The sequence below is a fragment of the Homo sapiens genome, chromosome 16 (assembly GCF_000001405.40).
Source record: "Homo sapiens chromosome 16, GRCh38.p14 Primary Assembly".
NCBI classification, from domain to species: domain Eukaryota; kingdom Metazoa; phylum Chordata; class Mammalia; order Primates; family Hominidae; genus Homo; species Homo sapiens.
In genome coordinates, this window is record NC_000016.10 from 49,371,815 (window position 1) to 49,399,802 (window position 27,988).

The 27,988-nt window shown below is 42.4% G+C and overlaps 1 protein-coding gene and 1 long non-coding RNA gene across 2 annotated transcripts in view, besides 2 other annotated features; one reads left to right on the top strand and one right to left on the bottom strand.

Moving 5' to 3' along the window:
* Window positions 1–509: 509 nt before the first annotated feature.
* LOC105371244 (uncharacterized) overlaps window positions 510–27,988 on the bottom strand; it is an 81,768-nt gene continuing 54,289 nt past the window's right edge. Inside the window, exon 8 of the long non-coding RNA XR_001752167.2 lies at window positions 510–3,116. This is a non-coding gene — a long non-coding RNA (uncharacterized LOC105371244). The remainder of the gene's footprint in view (window positions 3,117–27,988) is intronic.
* Window positions 1,443–2,173: an enhancer, noted in NCBI's record as "NANOG-H3K27ac-H3K4me1 hESC enhancer chr16:49407168-49407898 (GRCh37/hg19 assembly coordinates)". NCBI's record gives its function as "activates a minimal SCP1, AML or CMV promoter by ChIP-STARR-seq in naive H9 embryonic stem cells {active_cell/tissue: H9 hESC(naive)}" and the evidence as "EXISTENCE:reporter gene assay evidence [ECO:0000049][PMID:30033119]".
* C16orf78 (chromosome 16 open reading frame 78) lies at window positions 1,990–27,617 on the top strand. The gene is made up of 5 exons (NM_144602.4): window positions 1,990–2,275; window positions 5,917–6,036; window positions 6,656–6,779; window positions 24,609–24,864; window positions 27,317–27,617. Exons 1-5 carry the CDS (start codon window positions 2,126–2,128, stop codon window positions 27,462–27,464), a joined length of 798 nt encoding a protein of 265 aa, NP_653203.1. The 5' UTR covers window positions 1,990–2,125; the 3' UTR covers window positions 27,465–27,617.
* Window positions 2,174–2,904: an enhancer, noted in NCBI's record as "NANOG-H3K27ac-H3K4me1 hESC enhancer chr16:49407899-49408629 (GRCh37/hg19 assembly coordinates)". NCBI's record gives its function as "activates a minimal SCP1, AML or CMV promoter by ChIP-STARR-seq in naive H9 embryonic stem cells {active_cell/tissue: H9 hESC(naive)}" and the evidence as "EXISTENCE:reporter gene assay evidence [ECO:0000049][PMID:30033119]".

Below are 27,988 nucleotides of genomic sequence, written 5' to 3' on the forward strand. Positions count from 1 at the left end.
ATGCAGTTAACAGCTGGCTTCCCATATAAAACAATAGAGGGCAAAAAGCAATCAAATGAAAAAACTGTTAACCAAGAGTTCCATTATCCAGAAAATCTTTCTTCAAGAATGAAGGTAAAATAAAGACATTACCATATAAACAAAGACAAAATAATTCATTATTTCTAAAATCTTACAAATATATTGCAAAATTAATAAATCCAGATGTAAAATATCACATGCATATTATTTGGTTTATATTTAACTCAATAACAGGAAGAAAAAGTTTGATATTGGATAATAAGGCCGGACACGGTGGCTCACGCCTGTAATCCCAGCACTTTGTGAGGCCGAGACAGGTGGATCACGAGGTCAGGAGTTCAAGACCAGCCTGGCCAACATGGTGAAACCCCGTCTCTACTAAAAATACAAAAATTACAGTGCGCCTGTAATCCCAGCTACTCAGGAGGCTGAGGCAGGAGAATCGCTTGAACCTGGGGGACGGAGGTTGCAGTAAGCCGACTCTAGCCTGGGTGACAGAGCGAGACTCTGTCTCAAAAAAAAAAAAAAAGAAATTGGATGATAAGATGATGTTTACCCTTGGAGGGTGGTAATAACTACCAGGGGCTGTATGGAAGATTCTGGGGTACTGGTTACATAGATGTCTTCATTTGTGATTCTGGCACATTTTTGTATATATAATTTCCTTCAATAGAAGTTTACTAGAGCAAAAAAGGGAAGCCTGACCATGCCACTCCCTCCCCTTTTTTTGAATTCCTTTATTGTTTTCCTTTGCTCCCTTTCCCTTCCCAGTCTGAGCAGAACCTGTGGCTACCAAGTTCCTGGATGGCCTGGCCTCTGGCCACCTCTGTACCATTGCCTCTTTGCCTCTGGTACTCTAGTCACCCTTGCCTTCTGTTGTTAGTGCCATGCCTCCCGCTTGTCACAGGGCCTTTGCACAGGCATATTTCTCTGGTCCAAAGCCCTTATCTTAATCCATTTGGGCCTATGACAAAATACCACAAAGTGGGTAGCTTATAAACAACAAACATTCATTTATCACATTTTTGAAGCCTAGGAAATCCAAAATTAAGGCTCTGACAGATTCCGTTGTCTGCTGAACCCATTTCCTGGTGACACCTTCTCACTACATCTTCACATGGTGGAGCTCTCTCTAGTCTCTTCTGCAAGGGCACCAATTCCAATCATGAGAGAACTGCTCTCATGACCTAATTACCTCCCAAGACCCCACCTTTTAATGCCATCACCTTGGGGGTTAGGATTTCAGCACATGAATTTTGGAGGGACAGAAATGTCCAGACCATAACAGCCCTGTTGAAGTCTATTTATCCTTTAGCTCAGAGCTCAAAGGTGGCCTACCCACCACCCCATCCAAGTCTAGTACCATTGATATGGCCTTTCATAGAACTACATTCCTTTCTTTGAAAGCACTCATCTTCACTTGTCATTATGAATTCATACGGTAATTATCTGCCCTGTCTTTTCCACTAGCCCATATGTCTTAGGAGGTTTGCCTATGTTTTTTTCCTGCATTGTATCCCCAGCACCATTCCCAATACTTAGTAGGTGCCTGATAACCACATGTTGGATGAATAAATGAATATAGACGAATTGGGCTTATAAAAAGCTTTCTTCTAATTAGAGTACACTACAGAAAGATAGGATGCCAAACTAAAGAATTCAGATTTCTTTTAGATAGGCAACAAGGAGCCATTGAAGGTTTTTGAGAAAGGAAGATGCGTGGACAGACCTTTATTTTATTAAGATCTCTGTGGAGGTAGAGGTGGAGAGGCTGCAAGGAGGCTGTGGCAGAGTCCAGAGGAGACATAGCGCCTGAAGAGGGGTAGTGGCCACATGGAGAACAGTGGGAGGTGGCCAATGTCCCACCTCCACTCTGACCTCAGGGCCAGCTACCAAGACGGGCAATGACTTCACAATCACTGCCCAGGCCTTCCACCTTTTAAGGCCAATATCCCAGGGTCTTGGCTCACTCTGCCCTTTATGTTCACATCTGGAGGCCACACCCTACCTTCTAAGTCACCAGGCCATCAAGTCCAGACAAAGGGATCGAAAGAGTGAGACAGTGCCAGCCACCTCCCACCCAAGCCACTAGCAAGACTCCACAATGTCAGAGCAACAAATGGACCTGAAGGATTTAATGCCCACAAAGAGGAAATACATGTGGAAGACTGCTGAAGATAGGCGCATGTCTGACCTCACCTGTGTGCTGGAGTGGCTGGAGCGGAGGCAGGGGAAGAAGAAACAAGCTCCCGAGGTGGGTACCATCCAAGAGAAATGGCAGGAAGACTTTACTCAAGGTAGTTGCAGTAGGGGAGAGAGATTGAACTTAACTCTCCTGAAACAAAAGGCGGGATGGTTTTGAAGTGCTGGGATAAGCTAGTGAGAACTACCCAAGGACATTAAGGGGGTGGGGGAATTAGTTAATATGATTAGGCTGTCTGTGTTGCTAATTCGCACTTATAAATGTTAGGCTCCCATCCTCTCACAGAGACTGAGAGACAAGGTACAATCTTTCTTGATGATTACATTTCAAAGGGTCCTCCCAGGTCCTTGAGAAAAACATTCCTGGATTGTAAAACTAGCAAGAGACTGAGAGATTTACATCTCAAAGGGGCAGAGAAAAAATTTACAAATCCAAGTTTTCTAGAGGAAATGCTCTAAGGAAAAGGAGGCCAAGGGCCTATCATCAGGAAGAAACCTGTCTAAAGTTTAGTCAAGCTGGGCAAATGTTAGTATTGGTCAGAATTCTAGAAGGGCCAAGGGGCAGTGGCTTCTGGGTCTCCATATTGCAGGATGGGATCCTCCTACTGCCCTCAGCTCTTCTCTCCTTGTGATGCCTTCAGAATCAAAGAACATTCATTCCTCACTGCCATTACTGCAACTGCAACTCCAGCTAACATACCTCCTCTTTTCTACCCTACATCGAGCTAGTTCTAACCCACCCTTTCCTCTTTCTCCAAGAAATGTAGCAACCAAGTTTGCCTTAGTTTTTCCCAGAGCTCCCCCAAGACCTATCATCTATGAAGAACCAAGCCATGTCTTTGGAAAGTGGTGTCCTCTGCAGAAGATGCCACCTGGTCTTGAATCTCCTGACCCTAGAGCAAAATGAGTAAAAAATGCCATTACTAATAACAATGCTCAACACATCACTAACTTTTAATGTTTACTGTGGTCAAGGCCCTGTGCTTAGATTTGTACCTGGGTTATGTGGTCAATTGCTCCCAGTCAGGCTACCAGGGAGGCACCATTTTTACCCCTAGTTGAAGGATAAGGAAAGTGAAAATAAGTCATTTTATTGAAGTCACAGAAGTAATAAAGGGCAGAGCCAGGGCTCAAACTGAGGTTTTCCAATTCCCAAATGCATAGACTCCTCTGCTTTATCCAGGTCAGCACCTGCCTTTGGGGAAAGCTTCCATTATGTTTGTGTGCTTACTTACTGTATTAGTCCATTCTCATACTGCTACAAAGAAATACCTGAGACTGGGTCATTTATTTAAAAAAAAAATAAAAAAAAATGTTTAATTGGCTCATGGCTGTACAAGAAGCATAGGAGATTCCACTTCTGGGGAGGTCTCAGGAAGCTTACAATCATGGCAGAAGGCAAAAGAGGAGCAGGCACTTCACATGGCAAGAGCAAGAAGTGGGAGGACGAGGTGCCACACACACTTTTAAATGACTGGATCTCACGAGAACTCTCGCCTTCATGACAGTACCAAGGGGAATCGTGTTAAACCATGAGAAAGTGCCCCTATGATCTAATCACCTCCCACCAGGCCCCACCTCCAACACTGGAGATTACAACTTGACATGAGATTTGGGGAGAGACGCAGATCCAAACCATACCACTTACCATTTATAGTCAGAAAGATCTCGAGTGCCAATTCCATCAGACACATCTGACAAACATATTTTACTCTAAGGTGCTAATGATTTACAGATAGCCTACCCACTGCCTTGATTTGGGGGCGAAGGGGAAGCTTGACTTCTGGGTCTCTCCAAACTCAATTTAATATCATCACAGGAATTACATTCACTTCCCTGGTTAATATGTTCAGGTCTATCTCCTTTTACCAGGATAAGATTCTAATAATCACATTTTAACAACTTTACCTTAAATGTGGCTTTTATTGTAAATAACTTTGGACCTAGAGAGGGAGCAAGTTTACATGGGAAATATAATTAAGTCTTCAAGCATCATTACCTTTCCCAGAAGCATCTGGGCTTTTAAAGAAGCTTCTAAGAGGAAGATGATGTGTGCTGGCAGGTCTCCGACAGCAGCAGGTGATGGGGGACCCTCTGGTGAGATGGTTGGGGTCTATCTTCACCACTCAGGGCCCTCTGTGACCTCCTCTGTTCTCTCCTGGGGTCTGACCTGGCCATCCAGGCTCTTCCCCCAACAGACTGCTCATGGTATTTCCCCCTTGTGATCCATTTGGCATCAGCGAAGACCCCTGAGGTCTGAAGTCTCAGCCATGGAGGATGCTGAATCCTTGAATGTTGCAGTTTCCTTGAGTCTAAAGCATCGCCATGTCAATTCCGCTCAGCTTCCCCAAAATGGGGGCTGTGTGGGGAGCTACTCAGGTGACTCTTTGAGGGAGGCTGAGGATTGAGTGGGGGATGGTGGAAGGGGCTGCCCTGGAGGAGATGGGTCATCCTAGCTCCTCACAGCCTGAAAATGCAGCCTTGGCTCTGAGTTGCACTGTTTCTCCACTAAACCAAACAAAACCCTAAAGCTAACCAGCGTTACCTTCCTTAGAAGGCAACTTGCAACATGGAGCAGGCCCTTGGACAGCTTCCTTCCATACTCCCAAATGGCTTATCGAAACTTCCCTTCCACCCACCCCGCATAATAACCTGCCTCCCATAATTCATGGAGGGCATTGCACATGCATGTCGTAATTCAGTTATTGCTCTCAGTAACCTTATGAAGTAGGTCCTACTATTATCCCCACCTTTCAGACAAGGAAACTAAGCCACAGAGAGAGCAGAAACTTGCCGAGGTCACTCAGCCCTCAGCCGTGGATAGAGCAGGAATCCAGGCAGTCTGACCTGGACACTGCAGTCCAGGCCACCGTCTCCCTGTAACCATAAGCAGCATATTCCCAGAGGAGATCCAGTCTATTTAGTTTCTGCCATGATGCTCTGGCACCCACCCCTAACCCTTATAGACTAGGCAGAATGCTTCCTGGGTGGCCCACCCTTTAAGTGCTTCTGCTGGGCTCCTGGACTGTGGGACCCTGGAGATCCCTAATGACCCTGCCCTCCCTGCCTCCCCTGCGAGAGCAGGAGGGCCAGGAATGTGCCATGCACAGGGAACTCCATTCAGGGCAGGGTGTGCTCAGCTCTTGGGCAGGTGGTAAGGAATACCTGGGGAAATAGAAAGGCAAGGTCAGTGGTGACCACCACTCCAGGAAGACAGGATGGGGTGGGCCTGGGGTGCTCCGGGACCAAGGGAGAGGCCGGGGTGAGCAAAGGCCCAGAGGTCTGGATCAGCAGCACCTGTTCAAAGTCAGGGCAGCCTTCCTGTGACTCCACACTGGAGGCAGGGGCAGGGAAGTCTGAGCTGGTAAGGCCACAAGGGGGCTGGAGGGGCTTCCTACCAGGCTAGGGAGTGAGGCCCTTATGTGGGGGGTGATGGGGAGCCCCTGATGGATTCTGAGGTGGAGAGGAACAGGACCAGGCCTGAGGCTCAGAAAGTCGCTCTGGGGGCGGCGACATGTATACCAGGGCGCATCTGGAAGCAGAGGAACAGTGACGACAGGCCCTAGAGTGTGTGTGCTGAAGCCTGTGGAGGGGAGGGACAGCCCCTCACCTGGGAGCCTTCTCCTTGGGGAAAGGGAGGGGATGCTGTCCCCACAGCAGTGGCTGCAGGGCTCTCTTCCCTTGTCTTTTCAGAAGCAAAAGCCCAAAGTGGTGACAGTCCTTAAACGAAATAAGAAGAAGGAAGAGAAGAAAGGCAAAGGCCTCATGACAGCACGGGGAGGGAACCGCAGGGACACGGAGACTTCCCAGCAGGTAATGCAGCCCCTCTTCCCCCACTCACCCCCACTGGGTCTCCAAATGGAGGAGGGGTCCCTGCTTCTCTCCTGCATAATGCCTGCCTACTTTCTAAATTTCAAGGCTCCGAAATTCACTCTGGCCCCACATTAACACTCAAATAAAATCTCCACCCCTCCCTACCCTGTCCAGCCGTGCTACCCAATTGCTGCCTCCCTGTAGTTTCATTCTTCACACGTGTCACATCCTCCCTTGCCCACATTTATCCCTGAAACCATTCAAGAAGGCCACTTGGAAGATGAGAACACCGTGGTTCAGTGAGGGACAAGAGCCTCCTGGCCACACAGCTAACAGGGCAGAACCACCCAGACCTAATGGCCTCCGAGGGCCTGTGTTTCCAAGGCCCCCAGGGACCCCTCCGATATATGGTGGGGAGAAGAGGGAGGCGTTGGTGAGCAAGCACCCGTGGGCAGACCCTGCCCCTCCGACCTCTCCCAGGGCCCGGGGAAGCTCTCTCCTTGGTTGCCTTTGCCTGCCTTTTGGCAAACCCTTGAAATTGCTGTTTGCTTGGGATGGAGCGGGGAGGGCGAGCCAGGTCCTGTAACTGGGGTGTGACTTCTCACCTGCTCCCTCCAAGGCCTTAGGAAAGAGATTCAGGAAGGACGCCGCCTCCTACCGAAGCCTCTATGGAGTGGAGCAAAAGGGGAAACACCTCAGCATGGTCCCTGGCAGCTACATCAAGGATGGCCCCAAGAAATCTGGTAAGGGAAAAACCTTGGCCCCGGCCACCAGAATCCTGCTCCATAATCTCCTCCTCTAGAAGAAACCGAAAGCTCACGCCATTCTTAGAGCAGTAGCGTCCACGTCAATCCAACCATTGTGCACACAGGAGTCAGAAGCCCACATGGAGGCTCAGTAGGGACCACTCCTGGGGTCGCTCTTGGCAAGCAGGGTGTGACATGAACAGGAGGCAAGTGTCTGTCAAGGCCCTGCCCCATCTCGAGTGTTCCCTTCTCAGGAAACCAGCCTCATGTGTCCAGGTTCCTGAAGCTATTTTGGTGACATCAACTTCATGAGTTACAAATCATCTAATTAATTTAGATACTGTGACAATATCAACTACAGAAGGTACCACTCCTGCTGGCCTGAAACCTGCCAGGGGTTGCTCACCTCTAGGAAGGGATGAGCTTAGGCTGTGCCAGATCCCCAATTTCAAAGACTGCCTGGGTCCTGACCCTGGCTCTACCACTTTATAAGGAGCTCAGAGTTGTATAATCCTGGACAACTTATTCCATCTCTGGAGTCTGGTTTTTCATCTATAAAATGGGACAACAACAATACCTGCCTCATAGTATGGTTGTGAGGTTTAAGCAAGATGATGCATGAAAAGTAATTAGCCTGACCAAGAGGAGGTGCTGAATAAATATTAGTGGTTTTTTTCTAAGTAAAAATTTTGCTAAAATTTCAGGTGGTCTTTACTGTGGTGTTGGAAAAACAGATACATTTGTTATGTCTGGCCCCTTGGGACAAAGGTGTAGGGTAAAAGAGAAATCTGGAAGGGATTCCAATTAGCCCAGGAGAAAAGTGCACAGGAGTCTTCAAGCAGAGGCGGTCAATTCTCATATATAAAATTGCCCCCATTGTACCCAACAACAGCAACAAAATCTTTTTTTCCCCTTTTCATTTAATATACCAAAGCCATTGTGACCAAATTGCAGTCACTTCCCTTTAAGATTTAAATGCAGTCGGCTTTCAGTGCAGTTTAGGATCCTAGATTAAATCCTAGAATAGCACTTTAGGGGCATTACTGGCGAAATCTGAAAAAGTTCTATAATATACAAAAAAATGTTAATTTCTTAGTCGTGACAAACATGCCATGGACGTAAGATGTTAACATTAAGGGAAAATGGATGAAGGATATACAGGAATCCTCCTTATTTTCTTTGCAACATTTCTGTAAATCCATATGTGATGGTTAATATTGAGTGTCAACTTGATTGGATTGAAGAATGCAAAGTATTGTTCCTAGGTGTGTCTGTGAGGGTGTTGCCAAAGCAGATTAATATTTGAGTCAGTGGACTGGGAGAGGCAGACCCACCCTCAACCTGAGTGGGCACCATCTAATCAGCTGCCAGCACAGCTAGAATAAAGCAGGCAGAAGTTGGAAGGATCAGACTTGCTGAGTCCTCTGGCCTTCGTCTTTCTCCTGTGCTGGATGCTTCCTGCCCTTGAACATCAGACTCCAAATTCTTCAGCTTTTGGACACTTGACTCTATATCAGTGGTTTGCCAGGGGCTCTCGGGCTTTTGGCCACAGACTGAAGGCTGCACTGTCGGCTTCCCTACTTTTGAGGTTTTGGGACGCAGACTGGCTTCCTTGCTCCTCAGCTTGCAGATGGCCTACTGTGGGACCTCACCTTGTGATCATGTGAGTCAATACTCCTTAATAAACTCCCCTTCATATATACATCTATCCTGTTAGTTCTGACCCTCGATGGAACCTTGATTAATACACCACAATTATTCCAAAATATTTAAGGTTTATTTAAAAAATAATCTAGATTGCCTTATGCCTTATGGGAAGCCCCATACCTTCCCCGAATTTTCTGTGACTACCAGTGTAATGTCTGGCTCCAAAATCCTGGTCCTGTTGGGCCCTGGAGCTTCTGTAAATCTTGCTTCCAGTGGCTGCTATCTTGTCTCTTTGATTTCTCCTGAAACCTCTCACACGAAGTCATTGTGTGTAAATACATTCTACTGAAGGCTTGGGGTCAACAGAGGGAAAGAATTACATCTTTAGTTTAATTAGATCCCATTTGTCAATTTTGGCTTCTGTTGCCATTGCTTTTGGTGTTTTAGACATGAAGTCCTTGCCCATGCCTATGTCCTGAATGGTAATGCCTAAGTTTTCTTCTAGGGTTTTTATGGTTTTAGGTCTAACGTTTAAGTCTTTAATCCATCTTGAATTGATTTTTGTATAAGGTGTAAGGAAGGGATCCAGTTTCAGCTTTCTACATATGGCAAGCCAGTTTTCCCAGCACCATTTATTAAATAGGGAATCCTTTCCCCATTGCTTGTTTTTCTCAGATTTGTCAAAGATCAGATAGTTGTAGATATGCGGCATTATTTCTGAGGGCTCTGTTCTGTTCCATTGATCTATATCTCTGTTTTGGTACCAGTACCATGCTGTTTTGGTTACTGTAGCCTTGTAGTATAGTTTGAAGTCAGGTAGTGTGATGCCTCCAGCTTTGTTCTTTTGGCTTAGGATTGACTTGGCGATGCGAGCTGTTTTTTGGTTCCATATGAACTTTAAAGTAGTTTTTTCCAATTGTGTGAAGAAAGGCATTGGTAGCTTGATGGGGATGGCATTGAATCTGTAATTTACCTTGGGCAGTATGGCCATTTTCACAATATTGATTCTTCCTACCCATGAGCATGGAATGTTCTTCCATTTGTTTGTATCCTCTTTTATTTCGTTGAGCAGTGGTTTGTAGTTCTCCTTGAAGAGGTCCTTCACATCCTTTGTAAGTTGGATTCCTAGATATTTTATTCTCTTTGAAGCAATTGTGAATGGGAGTTCACTCATGATTTGGCTCTCTGTTTGTCTGTGCACAGCAAAAGAAACTACCATCAGAGTGAACAGGCAACCTACAAAATGGAAGAAAATTTTCGCAACCTACTCATCTGACAAAGGGCTAATATCCAGAATCTACAATGAACTCAAACAAATTTACAAGAAAAAACAAACAACCCCATCAAAAAGTGGGCAAAGGACATGAACAGACACTTCTCAAAAGAAGACATTTATGCAGCCAAAAAACACATGAAAAAATGCTCATCATCACTGGCCATCAGAGAAATGCAAATCAAAACCACAATGAGATACCATCTCACACCAGTTAGAATGGCAATCATTAAAAAGTCAGGAAACAACAGGTGCTGGAGAGGATGTGGAGAAATAGGAACACTTTTACACTGCTGGTGGGACTGTAAACTAGTCCAACCATTGTGGAAGTCAGTGTGGTGATTCCTCAGGGATCTAGAACTAGAAATACCATTTGACCCAGCCATCCCATTACTGGGTATATACCCAAAGGACTATAAATCATGCTGCTATAAAGACACATGCACACATATGTTTATTGCGGCATTATTCACAATAGCAAAGACTTGGAACCAACCCAAATGTCCAACAATGATAGACTGGATTAAGAAAATGTGGCACATACACACAATGGAATACTATGCAGCCATAAAAAATGATGAGTTCATGTCCTTTCTAGGGACATGGATGAAATTGGAAATCATCATTCTCAGTAAACTATCGCAAGAACAAAAAACCAAACACCGCATATTCTCACTCATAGGTGGGAATTGAACAACGAGATCACATGGACACAGGAAGGGGAACGTCACACTCTGGGGACTGTTGTGGGGTGGGGGGAGTGGAGAGGGATAGCATTAGGAGATATACCTAATGCTAGATGACGAGTTAGTAGGTGCAGCGCACCAGCATGGCACATGTATACGTAAGTAACTAACCTGCACAATGTGCACATGTACCCTAAAACTTAAAGTATAATAATAAAATAAATAAATAAATAAATAAATAAATTTAAAAAAAAGAATTACATCACAGAATTATACAGCAAACAAATTAGAGATTGATTATTAGACTCCCTTGTTCTTCAAAGTCCTTTATCCCCTGCCACCACGAGATTTTTCCCTAGTTACATGTCTTTGCAGGAAGTAGCCCCCTGATATTTTTCTCAACTCCAAGACTGGGTAAGGTGAGGCGAACCAGGAGTTCAGGCCACCAAATTTAAGGAAGCACTCACTCTCAGATGCGAATCATGCACTTGTGTGAGTCTGAGAGTGAACACCTCCTTAAATTTTGCATCCTGGACACCTTGCTTTCCTCACCCGAGTCCTGGTACTGCTCAGTTCTCCCTCTTCCTATCTCTTTCCTCTTCTCTTTCCTCCCTCGTCTTCCTTCTCCACCTAACACTTTCCCATTGGCTTTTTACTTGAAGAGAACCATGTTTCATTTGTCTGTTTCACACTCAAAGTAGTCTATTAAGACATTTTCTTAAACAATTCACTCCCTAAAAGAAACCCATACCAGCTGATTAAATAATTATTTACATCTCACTGCACAAGGATGCCAGCAGGTCAGGCTGACTTGACACTCATTTGGTTCCCTGCAGTTCCCTTCTTTCCACCATTCAAGTCGAATCCACTCTATTGGAGAATGAAGAAGCCTTGTCTCTCCTGATGTAATAAGACCAATGGCCAGTGGGTGGTGTGGTTGCAAATGGGCCAGCCCAAGTGCAAAAGGTGCTCAGAGGCATCTAGGAACAGTCTGGGCCTCAAGATGTGGCACCCAGGACCTAGTCAGGGCTGAGCCTGGGCACAGTAAGGAGAGCCTCTCATGTAGACTGGCAAGAGGACTAAAATGAATGGGTATGATCTGAATTGGCAGACAAATTCAAAACAAAGCAGCACCTATGAAGGGCCTAAAGATAGTCACATACACCATGCCCAATGTTAGCTTGGGTTGCCATAGTCAAAGCACATCCCGATTGCATTACATTACATGCACCCTCCCAGGAAATGGTCCTATCTCAATGTGGAAGTTGGATGTCAGAGTCTATCCTACCACTTCTGCCTCACTCTCCCTTCATGACCAGTTACTGGGTCCTGTAGCTTCTGCCTCCTTAATATCTTTAATCTCTTTCTCTTCTCCATTTCCACAACCAGTGTCTTAGCTTAACTGTGATCCTCATCCACTATAAGAATCACCAGTTGCTTTCAACTTCTATGACTGCCACATTGGCCTTCCTCAGTTATTTATGTCTTTATATTTAAAGTGAGCTTTGGATCAGGCAATGTGGCTCATGCTTGTAATCTCAGAACTTTCGGAGGCCAAGGCAAGGGAATCACTTGAGGCCATAAGTTTGAGAACAGCCTAGGCAACATAGTGAGACCCCCATCTACAAATAAACAAATACGTTGAGTTTCTTCATTACACCACTAAAATAAATTAATAAAGCTCCAATAACTGATTCTACAGCAATGCAGCTCTATGAATTGACTGACAAATAATTCAGAATAATCCTCTTAAGGACATTCACCGAGCTACAAGGAAACAAACAACTAAATGAAATAGGAAAACAATATTTGGACAAAATGAATTCAGCAATGGAATATAAACCATTTTTTAAAAGCCAAAAAAGGCCAGGCACGGTGGCTCACACCTTTAATACCAGCACTTTGGGAGGCCAAGGCAGGTGGATCACCTGAGGTAGGGAGTTCGAGACCAGCCTGAACAACGTGGAGAAACCCCATCTTTACTAAAAATACAAAGTTAGCTGGTTGTGGTGGTGCGTGCCTGTAATCCCAGCTACTCAGGAGGCTGAGGCAGGAGAATCACTTGAACCCAGGAGGCAGAGGTTGCAGTGAGCCGAGATAGTGCCATTGCACTCCAGCCTGGGCAACAAGAGCAAAACTCCATCAAAAAAAAAAAAAAAAAAAAAAGCAGAAAACTAATTCCTGGAGCTGAAGAACAAGATGTCTGAATTGAAAAACTCAATAGAGCACTTCAATGGCAGACTCAATCCAACAGAAGAATCAGTGAATTTAAAGACATGTCATTTGAAATTATTCAGTCTGAGGAGTAAAAAAAAAAGGAATGAAAAATAATAAAGAAAGCCAACAGACTTATGGTACACTGGCAAGTGAAACAATACATATTATGGGAGTCTAAGAAGGAGAATAGAGTGATAAAATGTATTGAAAGAAATAATGGCTGCAAAGTTCCCAAATTTGAGGAAAGAGATGTACATTAAGATTCATGAGGCCCAATCATTCCCAAATAGGTTGAACACAAAAAGGTCTGTACCAAGACATATTATAGCTAAATTGTCAAAAGTCAAAGACAATGAAAGAATTTTGAAAGCAGCAGAAGAAAAGCTACTTGTCATATACAAGGAAACCCCCACAAGACTATGAGTAGACTTCTCAGCAGAAACCTTGCACATCAGGAGAAAATGGAATGAATATTTAAAATATTGAAAGAAAACAACTGCCAACCAAGGATATTATACCTGATAAAGCTGTCTTTTAGAAATAAGAGGAAAGGACTTTCCCAAACAAAGAGTGAGAGTTTTCATCACCATTGAACCTGCCTTATAAGAAATCATAAAGTGAGTTCCTCAAGCTGAAATAAAAGGACACTAATTAACAATGTAAAACACATGAATGTATAAAATTAACTAGTAAAGATACATATATAGTCAAATTTCAAATTTTCTAATATGGTAATGGTGATGTATGAATGACTTTCAACTCTAGTATAAAAGCTAAAAAACAAATGTATTAAAATTAACTATAACTATAATAATTTGTTAGTGGATACACAATACAAAATATATGTATATATATTGTTTTATCAATAACCTAAAATGGCATGTGGAGTGTGAAAGTATAGTTTTAGTATATGATCTAAGTTAAGTTGTTACCAGTTTAAAATAGAATGTTATAACTATAAAATGTTTTATGGCCAGGCACAGTGGCTCATGCCTATAATCCCAACACTTTGGGAGGCCGAGTGGTTGGATCACGAGGTCAGGACCAGCCTGGCCAATATGGTGAAACCTCGTCTCTACTAATAATACAAAATCTAGCCAGACTTGGTGGCATGCGCCTCAGCTACTCGGGAGTCTGAGGCAGGAGAATTACTTGAACCTGGGAGGCAGAGGTTGCAGTGAGCCGAGATCATGCCATTGCACTCCAGCCTGGGTGACAGAGTGAGACTCCATCTCAAAAAAAAAAAAAAAATGTTTTGTACAAGCCTTATGGTAACCACAGAAAACAAACCTGTAGCAAATAAATAAAAGGAAAATAAATAAAAACATACCGCTCCAAAAAGTCATTAAATCACAAAAGAAGACATCAAGAGAGAAAAAAAGAAACAAAGAAACTACAAAGCAGTCAAAAAACAATGACCAAAATGACAGTAAGTTTTTACCTATTGATAATTACTTTAAATATAAATGGATTAAATGCTCCAATTGAAAGACATAGACTGGCTGAATGAATTTAATAAAAACAAGATCCAACTATACGCTGCCCATGAGAGACTCACTTTAGCTTTAAGGACACACACAGCCTGAAAGAGAAGGAATTGGAAAAGATATTCCATGCAAATGGTAACCTAAGGAGAGCATCGGTGGCTATACTTATATCAGATTTTAAGTCAGAAACTGTCACAAGAAAAAAAGAAGCTTGTCATATAACAAGGGATTGATTCATCAAGAAGACATAACAACTGAAATATTTATTCACTCAACATCAGAGTATCTAAATATATAAAAAAAATTAACAGAACTGAAAGGAGAAATAAACAGCAATACAATAATAGTAGGGGACTTTAACACTTCACTCTCAACATTGGGTAGGTCATGCAGGCAGAAAATTAATAAGGAAAACAGCAGATTTGAACAAAACTATAGACCAAATGGACCTAACATATGTTTACACATTCCATCAAAATACAGATTCTTCTCAAATGTATGTAGAATATTCTACAGAAGTGATCATATGTGGGACCACAAGTCATTTTTTTTTAAGTGCAGTGGTACATGTGCAGATTTGTTACATAGGTAAATTCATGTCATGGGTGTTTGTTGTAGAGATTATTTCATCACCCAGGTGTTGTTAAACCTAGTACCCATTAGTCATTTTTCCTGATCCTCTTCCTCCTCCCACCCTCCACCCTCAGGTAGGCCCCAGTTTCCTTTGTTCCCCTCTATGTGGCCATGTGTTCTCATCATTTGTCTCCCACTTATTAGTGAGAGCATGCAGTCTTTGGTTTTCTGTTTCTGCATCAATTTTCTAAGGATAATGGCCTCCTGCTCCATCCATGTTCTTGCAAAGAATATGGTCTTGTTCTTTTTATGGCTGCATAGTATTCCATGGTGTATATGTACCATATTTTCTTTATTCAGCCTACCATCAATGGGCGTTTAAGTTGATTCCATGCTTTGCTTTTGTGAATAATGCTGCAGTGAACATATGTGTGCATGTGTCTTTATGGTAAAATGATTTATATTCCCTTGGGTATATACCTAGTCATGGGATTGCTGGGTTGAATGATAGTTCTACTTTTAGTTCTTTGAGGAATCACCACACTGCTTTCCACAATGGTTGAACCAATTTACACTCTGATTAGCAGTGCATAAGTGTTCCCTTTTCTCCACAACCTTACCAGCATCTGTTATTTTTTGACTTTTTAATAATAGCCATTCTGACTGGTGTGAGATGGTATCTCATTGTGGTTTTGATTTGCATTTCTCTAATGATCAGGGCTATTGAGGTTTTTTTTTCCATATGCTTGTTGGCTGCATGTATGTATGTCTTCTTTTGAAAAGTGTCTTTTCATGTCCTTTGCCCACTTTTGTTGTTGTTGTTGTCGTTTCTTTCTTGTAAGTTTAAGTTTTTTATAGGTGCTGGATATTAGACCTTTGTCAGATGCATAGTTTGAAATTTTTTTCTTCTATTCTGTAGGTTGTCTGTTAACTCTGTTGATAGTTTCTTCTCTTGTGCAGATTTGGTTTGTCAGCATTTTGTTGAGGCTTTTTGCATTAATGTTCAAGGAACTGGCCTGACATTTTCTTTTTTTGTTGTGTCCCTGCCATGTTTTGGTATCAGCATGATGCTGACCTCATAGAATGAGTTAGGGAGGAGTCCCTCCTCCTCAATTTGTTGGAATAGTTTTAGTAGGAATGGTACCAGCTCTTCTTTGTACATCTTGTAGAATTTGGCTGTGAATCTGTCTGGTCCTGGGCTTTTGTTGTTGTTGTCGTTGTAGTTGGTAGGTTAATTACTGATTCAATTTTGGAGCTCATTATTAGTCTGTTCAGGGATTCAGTTTCTTCCTGGTTCAGTTCAGTCTTGAGAGGGTGTATGTGTCCAGTAATTTATCCATTTTTTCTAGCTTATGTACAGAGAGGTTTTCATAATATTCTCTGATGGTTATTTGTATTTCTGTGGGGTCAGTGGTAATATCTCCTTTGTAGTTTTTAATTATGTCTATTTGGATCCTGTCTCTTTTCTTCTTTATTAGTCTAGCTAGCAGTCTATTTGTTTTATTAATTCTTTCAAAAAACCAGGCCAGCTGTGGTGGCTCACACCTGTAATCCCAGCAATTTGGGAGGCCGAGACAGGCAGATGCCTTGAGCCTAGGAGTTCAAGACCAGCCTGGACAACATAGTGAGATCCTGTCTCTATTAAGAAAAAAAAATTTTTTTTTAAAAACCCACAACTCCTGGATTCCTTGATCTTGCAAATGGTTTTTTGTGTGTGTCTCAATCTCCTTCAGTTCAGCTCTGATTTTGGTTATTTCTTGTTTTCTGCTAGTTTTGGGGTTGGTTTGCTCTTGGTTCTCTAGTTCTTTTAGTTGTGATGTTAGGTTGGTAAGTTGAGATTTCTCTAACTTTTTGATGTGAGTGTTCAGTGATATAAATTTCCCTCTGAACACTGCCTTAGCTGTGTCCCAGAGATTCTGGTATATTGTATCTTTATTTTCATCTGTTTCAAATAACTTCTTGATTTCTGCCTTAATTTCATTATTTACCCAAAAGTCATTCAGGAGCAGGCTATTTAATTTCCATGAAATCGTATGGGGTTTTTCTTCCTAACACAAGGTCTCACTTTGTTATCCAGGCTGGAGTGCAGTGGCAGGATCATGGCTCACTACAGCCTCGACCTCCCATGCTCAAGCAATCCTCCCACCTCAGCCCCTCAAGTAGCTGGGATTACAGGTGCACGCCACCATGGCCAGCAAATTTTTGTATTTTTTTTGTAGAGACGAGGTTTTGACATGTTATCCAGGCTGGTCTTAAACTCCTGAGCTCAAGCAATGTGCCTAACTTGGCCTTCCAAAGTGCTGGAATTATAGGCACCCCTTGTGCCCAGCAAAATTGTATGGTTTTGAGTGATTTTCTTGGTCTTGATTTCTAATTTTATTGCACTGCACAAAACACATCTTAACAAATTCAAGAGGACTAGAATTATATTAACTATCTTTTCTTACCGCAAAGGTATAAAACAAAAAATCAATAACATGAGAAAAATTAGAAAATCTAAAAATATGTGGAAATTAACACATATCTTCACGTGCGTTTCTAACTTGTTCCATCTATTCTTTGCTTTCTCTTTCTTCTTTTCCTGCCCTCTTTTAGACCAAATATTGTTTATGATTCCATTTCATCTCCTTCATTAGCTTCCTAGTTATAACTCTTTGTTGCAGCCTGGTTCGGTGGCTCACGCCTGTAATCCTAGCACTTTGGGAGACGGAGGTGGGTGGATCACTTGAGGTTAGGAGTTCGAGACCAGCTTGGCCAACATGGCAAAACCCCGTCTCTACTAAAAATACAAAAATTAGCCAGGCATAGTGGCACATGCCTGTAGTCCCAGCTACAGGAGGCTAGGCTGAGGCAGGAGAATCACTTGAACCCAGGAGGCAGAGGTTACAGTGAGCCGAGGTCGTGACATTGTACTCCAGCCTGGGCAACAGAGCAAGACTCCATCTCAAAAAAAAAAAAATACAAAAATTAGCCAAGCGTGGTGACACACACCTGTAATCCCAGCTACTCAGGAGGCTGAGGCAGGAGAATCACTTGGACCTGGGAAGCGGAAGCTGCAGTGAGCCAAGATTGCACCACCGCACTCCAGCCTGGGTGACAGGGCGAGACTCTGTATTAAAAAGTAATAATAATAATTTTAGTGATTCTGTTACAGTGTGTAGTATACCTCTTTAAACTAGCACAGTCTATCTTCATTTTATGTAAACATAAGAGCCTTATCAGAGTATACTTCCATTTCTCCTTTCCCCTTCTACATGCTGTTGTTGCCACACATTATATTTTTCCATATTATAAACCCCGCAAGTGTTATGATTTTTGCCCCAAGCAATTATGTTTTCAAGAGACTTTTGTGTTTACTCACATATTTAACATTTCCAGTGCTCTTCATTGGATCCAGATTTCTGTGTGGAATAATTTTCCTTCTACCTGAAGATTTTTCTTTAACGTATCTTGTGGTGTGGCTTTGTTGGTAATAAATTCATATAGCTTTTGTATATCCAGAAAGGTCTTTATTTCACTTTTGTTTCTGAGAGACAGTTTTGCTGAGTGTAGAATTTTAGATTGTCAACCTTTCTTCTTCCAATACTTTAAAGGTTGCTGTACTGTCCTCTAGCTTGTTTGCAATGGGAAGCTGGCTCTCTTCCTAATTTTTGTTCCTCTGTAATGTATCTTTTTCCTCTGGCTTCTAAGATTTTCTTTTAAGAAAGGAGCTTATGATGTGCCTCAGTGTCATTTGCTTAATATTTCTTGGGTTTGTATTTGGGGTTTGTTGAAATTCTTGGTTTACAGTTTTCATCAAATTTGACAAATTTTTGGACATTATTTGTTCACAAATTTATTTCATTTCTCCATTCTCTCCCCTCTCTTTCAGGCACCCTGATTACACATATTTAGAGTCCCAAAATTCATCTTGTGTTTTTCTTCATCTTTCAGTCTTTTCTCTTTGTGTTTCATCTCATATAGTTTCTTGTGGTATAGCTTCAAGTCCACTAATCTTTTCTTCTCCAATACCTAATCTTCTGTTAATCCCATCCAATATAATTTTTATTTCAAATATTGTTATTTTCATCTCGAGAACTTCAATTTGGGTCATTTTAAATCTTCTGTGTCTCTTCTTAATGTGACCCTGCCTTGGAGGGCATAACAAGAGTATGTCATACTAGCTGTTGCCATGTTCTTGTCTACTAATTCTTTCACTAGAGTACTTTCTTTTCCGGCTTGTGCCGATTAGTCCTCAGCTGAGAGGAATCTTTGCATAACTTTGCAGTTCTTGGTGCAGCTTTTTCCTCCTGTTCTACCTCTTATGGTTTAACCTAAATTATCTGGTTTCTCTCCCCAACTCAAGGGGACTGCTAGGCTCTGCCTTTGCCTAGGCTTCCCTGCAACCCCGTGCTGCAACTTGGAAGCATCTTCCAAATGAAGGTTGGGGCAATCATGGGGCTCCTCTCATTTCTTTCCCCTCACTCAAGGATCACTTCCCTGTGTTGTGTGTTGTCCGATGTCTTAAAACCGCTATTTCATATGACATGCCCAATTTTTTAATTGCTTAAGGTGAAAGGATAAATTGAATCCCTGCTACCCCATCTTGGCTGAAGGCAGAAGTCTCAGATTGGCCTTTCCAAAACATAAACCTTATTGAGTGCAATAGCAAGTCACTGAAAAGTTTTATGAAGGAAATTACCAAATTGAATTTAAATTTTAGAAAGGTTGCTCTGGCTATGAGCCAGGAAAAGATCCTGGGAAAACAACTGTAACACCTTGCCAAAGTAAATCTTGGCAAAGTCTGAGTAGTAGACTGGAAAGGGAATTCCCTCCCTGGGCACCTATGTCCAGAATATTGTGTAGATGCCAGGCCAAGGATACATTCCTAATGCACAGGGCTAGAAGGCCATACCCCCTTTTGTCTCCGCGAGCACAGAGTGAGCTTCTGGTGTCCCAAACATGGCTCACTAGAAATATAACCTATCTCTTCAGCCACAAACCCAGGAATGTGGGTCATTTTTGTCCAAAAGAGTGGCCAGGACAGGCTTCCAGAAAAAGGCTCTGACAATGTGGGCTCATGTCCTCGGTTCACCACTAATAATCTGTGGCATCTTGAGCACATTACCTAATCCCTCTGATCCTCAATGTTCTCCTTTGTCAAATGGATATGATGTGGTTGTGAGACTAAAGTGCCCCCACTGCCAGAAAGCCCTTGAACACTGCCTGGTATGTGAGTCACTCAACACATGTTAGCTAATCTGTGTAATTGTCATTACTTTTTATATTGCTATCGCTCCTTCCTTCATGAGACCCACCTTGCATGGAAGAGGATCAGATATTTCAGGAAAGGTGATTGCCCTTTCTCCAAGGAATTTCCTTATTTGTGTCAAAGAGAATGTGCAGCTCATGATCCTCCCAGAGCATAGCGCCAATTTCCTCCACGCACAAACAGGGACTGCTGAGGCCACCTGACCTTATCACCCTGTCAAGGACCAGCTACCATGCCAGAGCACCATGTACCATAAAGAGTCCTAATTCAGCCACTAACTCATTGTGACACCTTGGGCAGGTCACACCCACACCTCAGGCCACTGTCTCTGCATTTATGTAATTGCAGGAGGTCTAGACGCATTTCCACTAGGAATATCCTGATAAAATTCCCAAACTTTGTTGATGAAATCTTACAAGCTTACAGACAGAATAATTTACTTACAAGGGGAAAAAAATCAGCCTGCCATCAACCTGGAAGTGGAATAGCACATATGCATTACTAAGAGTAAAGACCCCCATAATACTGACCCCAACTCACATAAGTCACTATCAAATGAATGACTTATATTTGTAGATTCAGAAATATTTAGGGATTTTTATCAGCCATACATTCCTTCATCTGCAGAAAATTCTCTAGGAGAGACTAGAAGCAACATATTAGGAAGTAATTTAAAATAAAATCTAGATACACATTTAAAACCAGGTGAGATAGAAAAGTTTATGACAAAAGGAAAAGCAAAGAAACAACAAGGAAACGCAAGTAGATGAGTTAGAATTGAGGCTAAAAGAAACACATAGAGTAAAAGAGGGATCTTTTTAAATGTTAAAGAGAATAACTAATAACCATAAACCTACATGCATCAAAAAATGTAGTAGGTAAATAGTAGGTAAATAAATAAAACAAAACATTTAGAAATCTAGGGAGAACCTGCTAAACATACAGTTATAGTGGTACATTTTATTTTATTTCGACTTTTAGGTTCTAGGAGTACATGTGCGGGTTTGTTACATGGGTAAATTCTGTGTCGCTGATGCCTGGTGTATAAATGATGCTATCACCCAAGTAGTGAGCATATGATATGGTTTGACTGTGTCCCCACCCAAACCTCATCTTGAATTGTAGTTCCCACAATTCCCAGGTATTGTGAGAGAAACTGGTGGGAAGTAATTGAATCATGGAGGCAGGTGTTTCCCATGCTGTCCTCATGATAGTGAATAAGTCTCATGAGATCTGATGGTTTTGTAAATGGGAGTTCCCCTGCACAAGTTATTCTTGCGTGCTGCCATGTAAGATGTCCCTTGCTCTTCTGCCATGATTGTGAGGCCTCCCCAGCCATGTGGAACTGTGAGTCAATTAAACCTCTTTCCTTTATAAATTACCCAGTCTCGGGTACATCTTTATTAGCAGCATGAGAACAGACTCATACAGCATAGTAACCCGATACATAGCCTTCCAACCCACATCTCCCTCCCATTCTCCCCACTATAGGGGTAAATTTTAATACACCTCCTTCAGAACCAAATAGAAGATCATATAGACAATAACAGGAAATACATAGAAGAATGTAACAATGCAGTTAACAAACTGTAGCTTTACATCTGAATAGAGAACATGTATCTTTATATATCCAAACAATATTTACAAAAATCACCTGTGTGCTTTGTCATAAAAAAAATTAACATTCAAAAAAGTAAAGATTTTAGGGCTACCTACATCACCCTAAACCAACAATTAGAAATAACCCTCAACTTTAAAAATTGGAAATTAAGAAACACACTTCCAAATTACCCTTGTATCAAAGAAAATAAATAACGAAATAAGCCTGTTTCATACCAAAACCTATGAGACATAGGCAAAACATATGCTCAGAAGAAAATTTACAGTAAAAACTAAAAGTAATAATTCTTTATAAAACACATAATAAAAGAAAATGCCAACACTTTTATTAGTTTAATAAGTAGAAGAAAGAATTACTATGAAAAAGAGAAAATTAATATATTAAATACTGGCTGGGATTAATGAATAATATCAAGATCAAAAGTTGTTAAAAGGCTAAATATAAAGCTAGCTTTTTGAAAAAGCAAGTGACATGAAAGCAATTGCTATGAAGTAATCATAAGCCTTGTTAAAAAGAAGAGTAAAAATACACAAGATTTTATGTGAGAAAGGATGCAAATAAAATAAAAGAATTGTAATAGAATACTATACCTCTATACAATACATTTTAAAACCTAAAGGAAATGGATGATTTTCTATTATACTATATATTATCAAAATTGGTACAATATAGAGCAGAAAAATTGAATAGGGCAATTTCTGCAGTGAAGGTTGAAAAATAATTAACATTTTCCCACTAAAAAATGGCACTAAGACAAATGGTTTCATGCAAGGTTTTAACATTTAAAGAGCAAATAATTCTAATGTTACTTCAACTATTACAGACTGTATAAAATATAGACATTTCTGCATTAATTTAAAAAGCTATTAAATTAATGCAGAACTTTAATATTAAAAGTTATACCAAAAAAGTTGGCCAATAATATAAATGCGAAAATCTAAAAATTTTTAGCAAACATACTCAATGTATGAAAATACATCAAATGTACAATGTCTGAAATGAATTCCACCATGAACAAGTGGGCTTTATTACAGCAGGTGAGAAGTGGTTCATTATCAGGATATCTAAGAACACAATTTATTACATCAACATATTAAAGGAAAAAATGTGATTATATCAGTTGATGGCAAAAAAAAAGCAATGAATAGAATCAAGCAATTATCACCAGTGAAAACTCTATGTCAACCAGGGATAAAACCACTAAAATATTATAAAACATGTATCCCAAATAGGGGCAAATATCATTCTAAATGATGCAATGCCCAAATTACTTAAAATCAGGAAAAAAATGAGGCATAATCCCTATCATCATTATTGGCAATGTTCTAGAGGGTCTGTCAAATGTAATATATATTAAAAATAATATATAATTTTGATAAATATTGGAGAAATGATATGTTCATTTTTTCCCCTAATATGATTGTATATCTGCAAAACTCATGAAATTCTAGTTAAAAAGTAATAAAATTTACTGTGGTTGCTGGTATACTAGACAACTATAGTTTTTTGTTTGCTTGTTTGTTTGTTTGTTTTTGAGACAGGGTCTTACTCTGTCACCCAGGCTGAAGTGCAGTGGTGTGATCATAGCTCACCGCAGCCTTGACCTCCTGGGCTCGAGCAATCCTCCCACCTCAACCTCCCAAGTAGCTAGGATGACAGGCATGTGCCACCAGACCCCTAATTTTTTTTTGTTGTTGTTAGAGATGGAGTCTCACTTTGTTAGTCTTGAACTTCTGGCCTCAATCCATGTTGCCCAGGCTGATCTTGAACTCCTGGGCTCAAATGGTCCACCTGCCTCACCTCTCAAAGTGCTGGGATTATAGACATGAGCCAGCATGCCCAGCTGACAAATATAGTTTTTAAAAAACAGTAGACTTTTCTCTACATACTTGTCATACCAGTTAGAAATGGAAATGAGTAGAGAATATTCCATCCTCCTGAGTAAAAATACATAAAACACTTAGAAGGAAATTTAGCAAGAAAAAAATATTAAGGTGTCCAAGCTCTAGTCCAACCTTCAGGCTGGCCACATGGGACCCAGGACGGATTTGAATGTGGCTCAACATAAATTTGTAAACTTTCTTAAAACATCATGAGATTTTTTTTTGCGATTTTTTTTTTCTCATCAGCTATCATTAGTGTTAGCAGATTTTAGGTGTGGCCCAGTAAAATTCTTCTTCTTCCAATGTGGCCCAGGGAAGCCAAAATATTGGGCACCCCTGCAAGTCCAACAACATTTTGTTTGGTACAAACCCCATATTTGGGTCACATCAGACACTTACCATTACATTTCGTGTATTTGTGCCTTCACACATTCTGTTCCTCTGCCTGCGATCCTTTCCTTCCTTTTCTAACTGATCAACGATTCGCCCTTTTAAACCCAGCTCAAAGCTTTTCTCTTCTGATACCTTCCCTGGGATATCAGAAGATATCCTCTAGGCTACCTCCTCTAGGCTCATTCCACTTAGGGGAATTCCTGCTGGGGAGGATGGAGAGAACAGATTGAAATAAGCAGAAAGGGGGAAGGAGGGAAAGGAAGGGAGTCGGAACAGGGCAGGGAGAAAGGAGGGAGGGGTAAAAGGATTGAACAAATAAAGAAGGAGAACCTGGGCTAGGCACGGTGGCTCATGCCTGTAATCCCAGCACTTTGGGAGGCTGAGGCAGGTGGACCATTTGAGCCCAGGAGTTCAAGACCAGCCTGGGCAACATGGCAAAACCCTAGCTCCACAAAAATATAAAAATTTATCAGGAGTGGAGGCATGTGCCTATAGGCCCAGCTACTCGGGAGGGTGAAGCAGGAGGATCACTTGAACCTGTGAGATAGAGGCTGCAGTGAGGTATGATTGTGTCACTGTGTCCAGCCTGGGCCACAGAGTGAGGAAACTCAGTCTCAAAAAAAGAAAGGGGAGAAGGGGTATAGAGAACCTGTGGAAGCCACGAAAAGACCTCATATCTCAGAACAGGTACGGTTTGAAGTCCATGCATTCCTCCAGCCTTCATCCCCTTCCTGCCTACCCCACCTCTCACGTCTCCCACGGTCTAACTCTTTGATGGCATCTGTCCAATTTCAGATACAGACATCAAGGATGCAGTCGACCCAGAGTCCACTCAGCGGCCAAACCCATTCCGTCGACAAAGCATTGTCTTAGATCCCATGTTACAGGAGGGTACCTTTAACAGCCAGAGGGCAACCTTCATAAGAGACTGGTCCAACAAGATGCCTGACATGGCTTACGAACGCAAGCTAAAGAGCCTCATGGAGAAAAGCACCGAACCTAAGATGGAAACCATGAGGATGTTGAAGCCAGAGGAGGTGCTGAGCTGCCGGTGAGAGCTGCCACCCCCTGGGCAGATGGGGTGGGGTCCTGGAACAGGCTTTGCTCACTCTTGTCCCTGGCTCAAACACCTTGGCTTAGCCTGAAGATCTAGGAGTAGGGGCTTGGTGTGGCTGAGCTCCGCCCTTTGGTCCCAAAGGACTGCTCCAGGGCTCAAGCCAGTGGGTTTCCAGCAGCTCACCTGCTGGTAGACCATCCCCTGAATGGGCATGTCATTTAGGTGCTGCCACTTTGATGCCACACCTTTCAACAACCCTCCCAATATTTCCGTTTGTTTCAATATTACTCAAAAAGGAAAGAATGTGGCTTTGTCTTAATAGGAAGATTTCCCTACGATCCTTTGCACTGTGGGGTTGAGTTGCTGGTGATGGTAGCCACCATCCTCAGTGACCTACCTGCTGCATGTTTGGACTTTTAGACTGTCAAAGGGATCATGAACAAAGTGTGAAACCATTTGATATTTACTGCTCTTCCCAAAGAGTCTCCCTTCTCATTTGCTCTCTGTCCTGTTTATCAGGGCTCTCTGGTTTTCAGCAATGGACCCCAGATTCCCCCATCAAAAAACAAGCATCCCTCTCCCTAGCCCAGTGTTTTCCTTTACTGTAAAGTTGTAACTGACAAAGTTCAGAAACTTTAGCAAATAAGGAAACAAAACAACAGAGTAATGTAGTTGTCATCATCCTTGTAAGGTTGACATCAGTAAACTCATCTATAGGTTTAAGATGGCCTCAAATGTCTGGCAATCTAATAACTCCATCACAAAGTCCTGCTCTGCTCACTGACTGGCAGAAGGATGGATGAATAGAATGGTTAACTGGCTTCCAGATGAACAGGGAGAGATCTCAGCAGACTGCCTTTGCTGGCTGGTTCCATGGGTGGATGACTTTGGCCCTGGCTTTCAGATGGGCCATGTGGTTCTAATTGACTCTGGGCAACAGACAGCCTACCCGGGTTCCATGGTGGGGGGAAAGAGATTTGGACAGGACTCCTGCCCTCCAAAGAGAGGGAAAGAATATTTGAAGAGGTAGCATATGAAGCCATTCAAGAAACATCCAAGAAAAGAATGAAGTGGTTCAGAGTGGGATTTATTATTATTATTGAGACAGCCTCTCTCTGTCGCCCAGGCTGGAGTGCAGTGATGTGATCTCGGCTCACTGCAACCTCCACCTCCCAGGTTCAAGCCACTCTCGTGCCTCAGCCTCCTGAGTAGCTGGGATTATAGGCATGCACCACCACACCCAGCTAATGTTTGTATTTTTAGTAGAGATGGGGTTTTGCCATGTTTCCCAGGCTGGTCTTGAACTCCTATTCTCAGGTGGTTCACCTTCCTTGGCCTCCCAAAGTGCTGGATTACAGATGTGAGCCACAGCACTTGGATGAGACCGTAATGGGTGTCCCCATATACATATGCATGAGACCCTCAGAGGCTAGGCTGATCAGGGAAAAAGTAGTCCAAGTGTGGGGATTGGTGAGGGGGTCTGAGCTGGCCATAAGAACAGGTAGGCTCTGGGAAGATCTTAAAGAACAGTGGCCATTCCTAACAGGCAGAAAATCACATTATATCAACACACAGCTCCTCTCCCATAGTCTGTGGCAAAGTAAGCAACCAGCAGGCAGCCTGAGTAGGGGGCCTACACCCTATACTAAAGCTGGGACCAAGGTCAGAGTTGCTGGTAGAACAAGGAGCTCTCTGGATCACACAGTACAAATGGGATTGATCCCATTCTTCAGTATCAGAATTATGGGGCTCTAGCTAATATTCTAAATCAATGGTCTGATTTTTAAATTGTGTGGATATTATTAAAAACAAATGCTCACCGCTATGCCTGCAACATTGCTCAGCGATTATTTCCACTGTCTGTATCTTTCCCGGCCCATGACCTCTCTCAGTGTATGTGCGCATGACAGTGACAAATCACGTAACAATTCACATTCTGTCTTTTCTCCCCACTTGGTATTGTCACAGCCACGTGGCACCATCTTCTTCCTAATGCCATTCTAACTGTGGCCTTTTAATTAAGATCCTTGACATGAGGTAGTCCATTATCAGATTGACCAATTCTCTGTTGGTGGATTTACTCATTTTCCTGTTGTTGACAATCCCAAAATGAACATCTTTTATTTATATAGCTTTTCTTTCCATTGACTCCTCTTCTTGGGATATATCGAGGACCTGAGTGGGGTTACTGAGTCAAAGATAATGAATGTTTTTTCTCTGGAGTCAACCGACTGCCAAAAGAGTTACACAAACGCAAACTCCCGCCGCCTTTGTGGGGTGTCCCACTGTCTTATAAGGTCTCTATCAGCTCCATGGATGACTGGGAGAGACAGCCCCTTGCAGAGCACCCACACTTACTGCTGCTCAAATCTAAGCTCTTTTCAATAAAGTTAGAAGCTGCTGTGACTCCACCTTCAACTGACCTCTTTTGCCTTCTCTTGAACAGATACCTGAGGTTATCCAAGGAGAACATTCGGACCTTGCTCAAGTTGTGCAAGGATGCAGGAATGAATGTGGATATCCACCCCCACATGGTCGAAGAGGACATAGATGCTAAAAAGGTGTTCACCGGAATACCCAGCATGGCCCTCTAAATAGCTCCTCTCGCCACCACCTTCAGGCTCCTTCTGTCATGGGACCCTTCACCTCCAGATGCCATCCTCTGGCACACTACAAGTGGTCCTTCCAACTTAGTGCATCCCTTTAGAAAGTAAGCAATCAGAAAACAAGCCTCGGCTGTGTGATCATTGTGCTTCCGTAAGACTGGTCCTTGACATCCGAGTCAGAACCAGCATAGGAGAAACTGGTTTTTCTCCTGACCAAAAGAAGAGTCCTTAGAAAGGGCTTCTTAGGAAGGAAGGCTTAGGAGTAAAAAAAAAAAAAAAAAAAGTGGGAGGGGTCCAGGGTCCTCAGAGGGACATTAGAAAGCACGAAGTGTAAAGGGGCTGGTTGAGAACACACACACATGCCCCACGCCCATGGCACGACTTGGCTTTGTGGGGACTTGGCTTCCTTGTGTGCAGAGTGGGGGACTGATTGGGGCAGTGAGAGAGGGAAATGCTATCAACATATGGAGGCAAGGAAGGAGACCTTTGTGTGCTTACAACCACAGACCCCA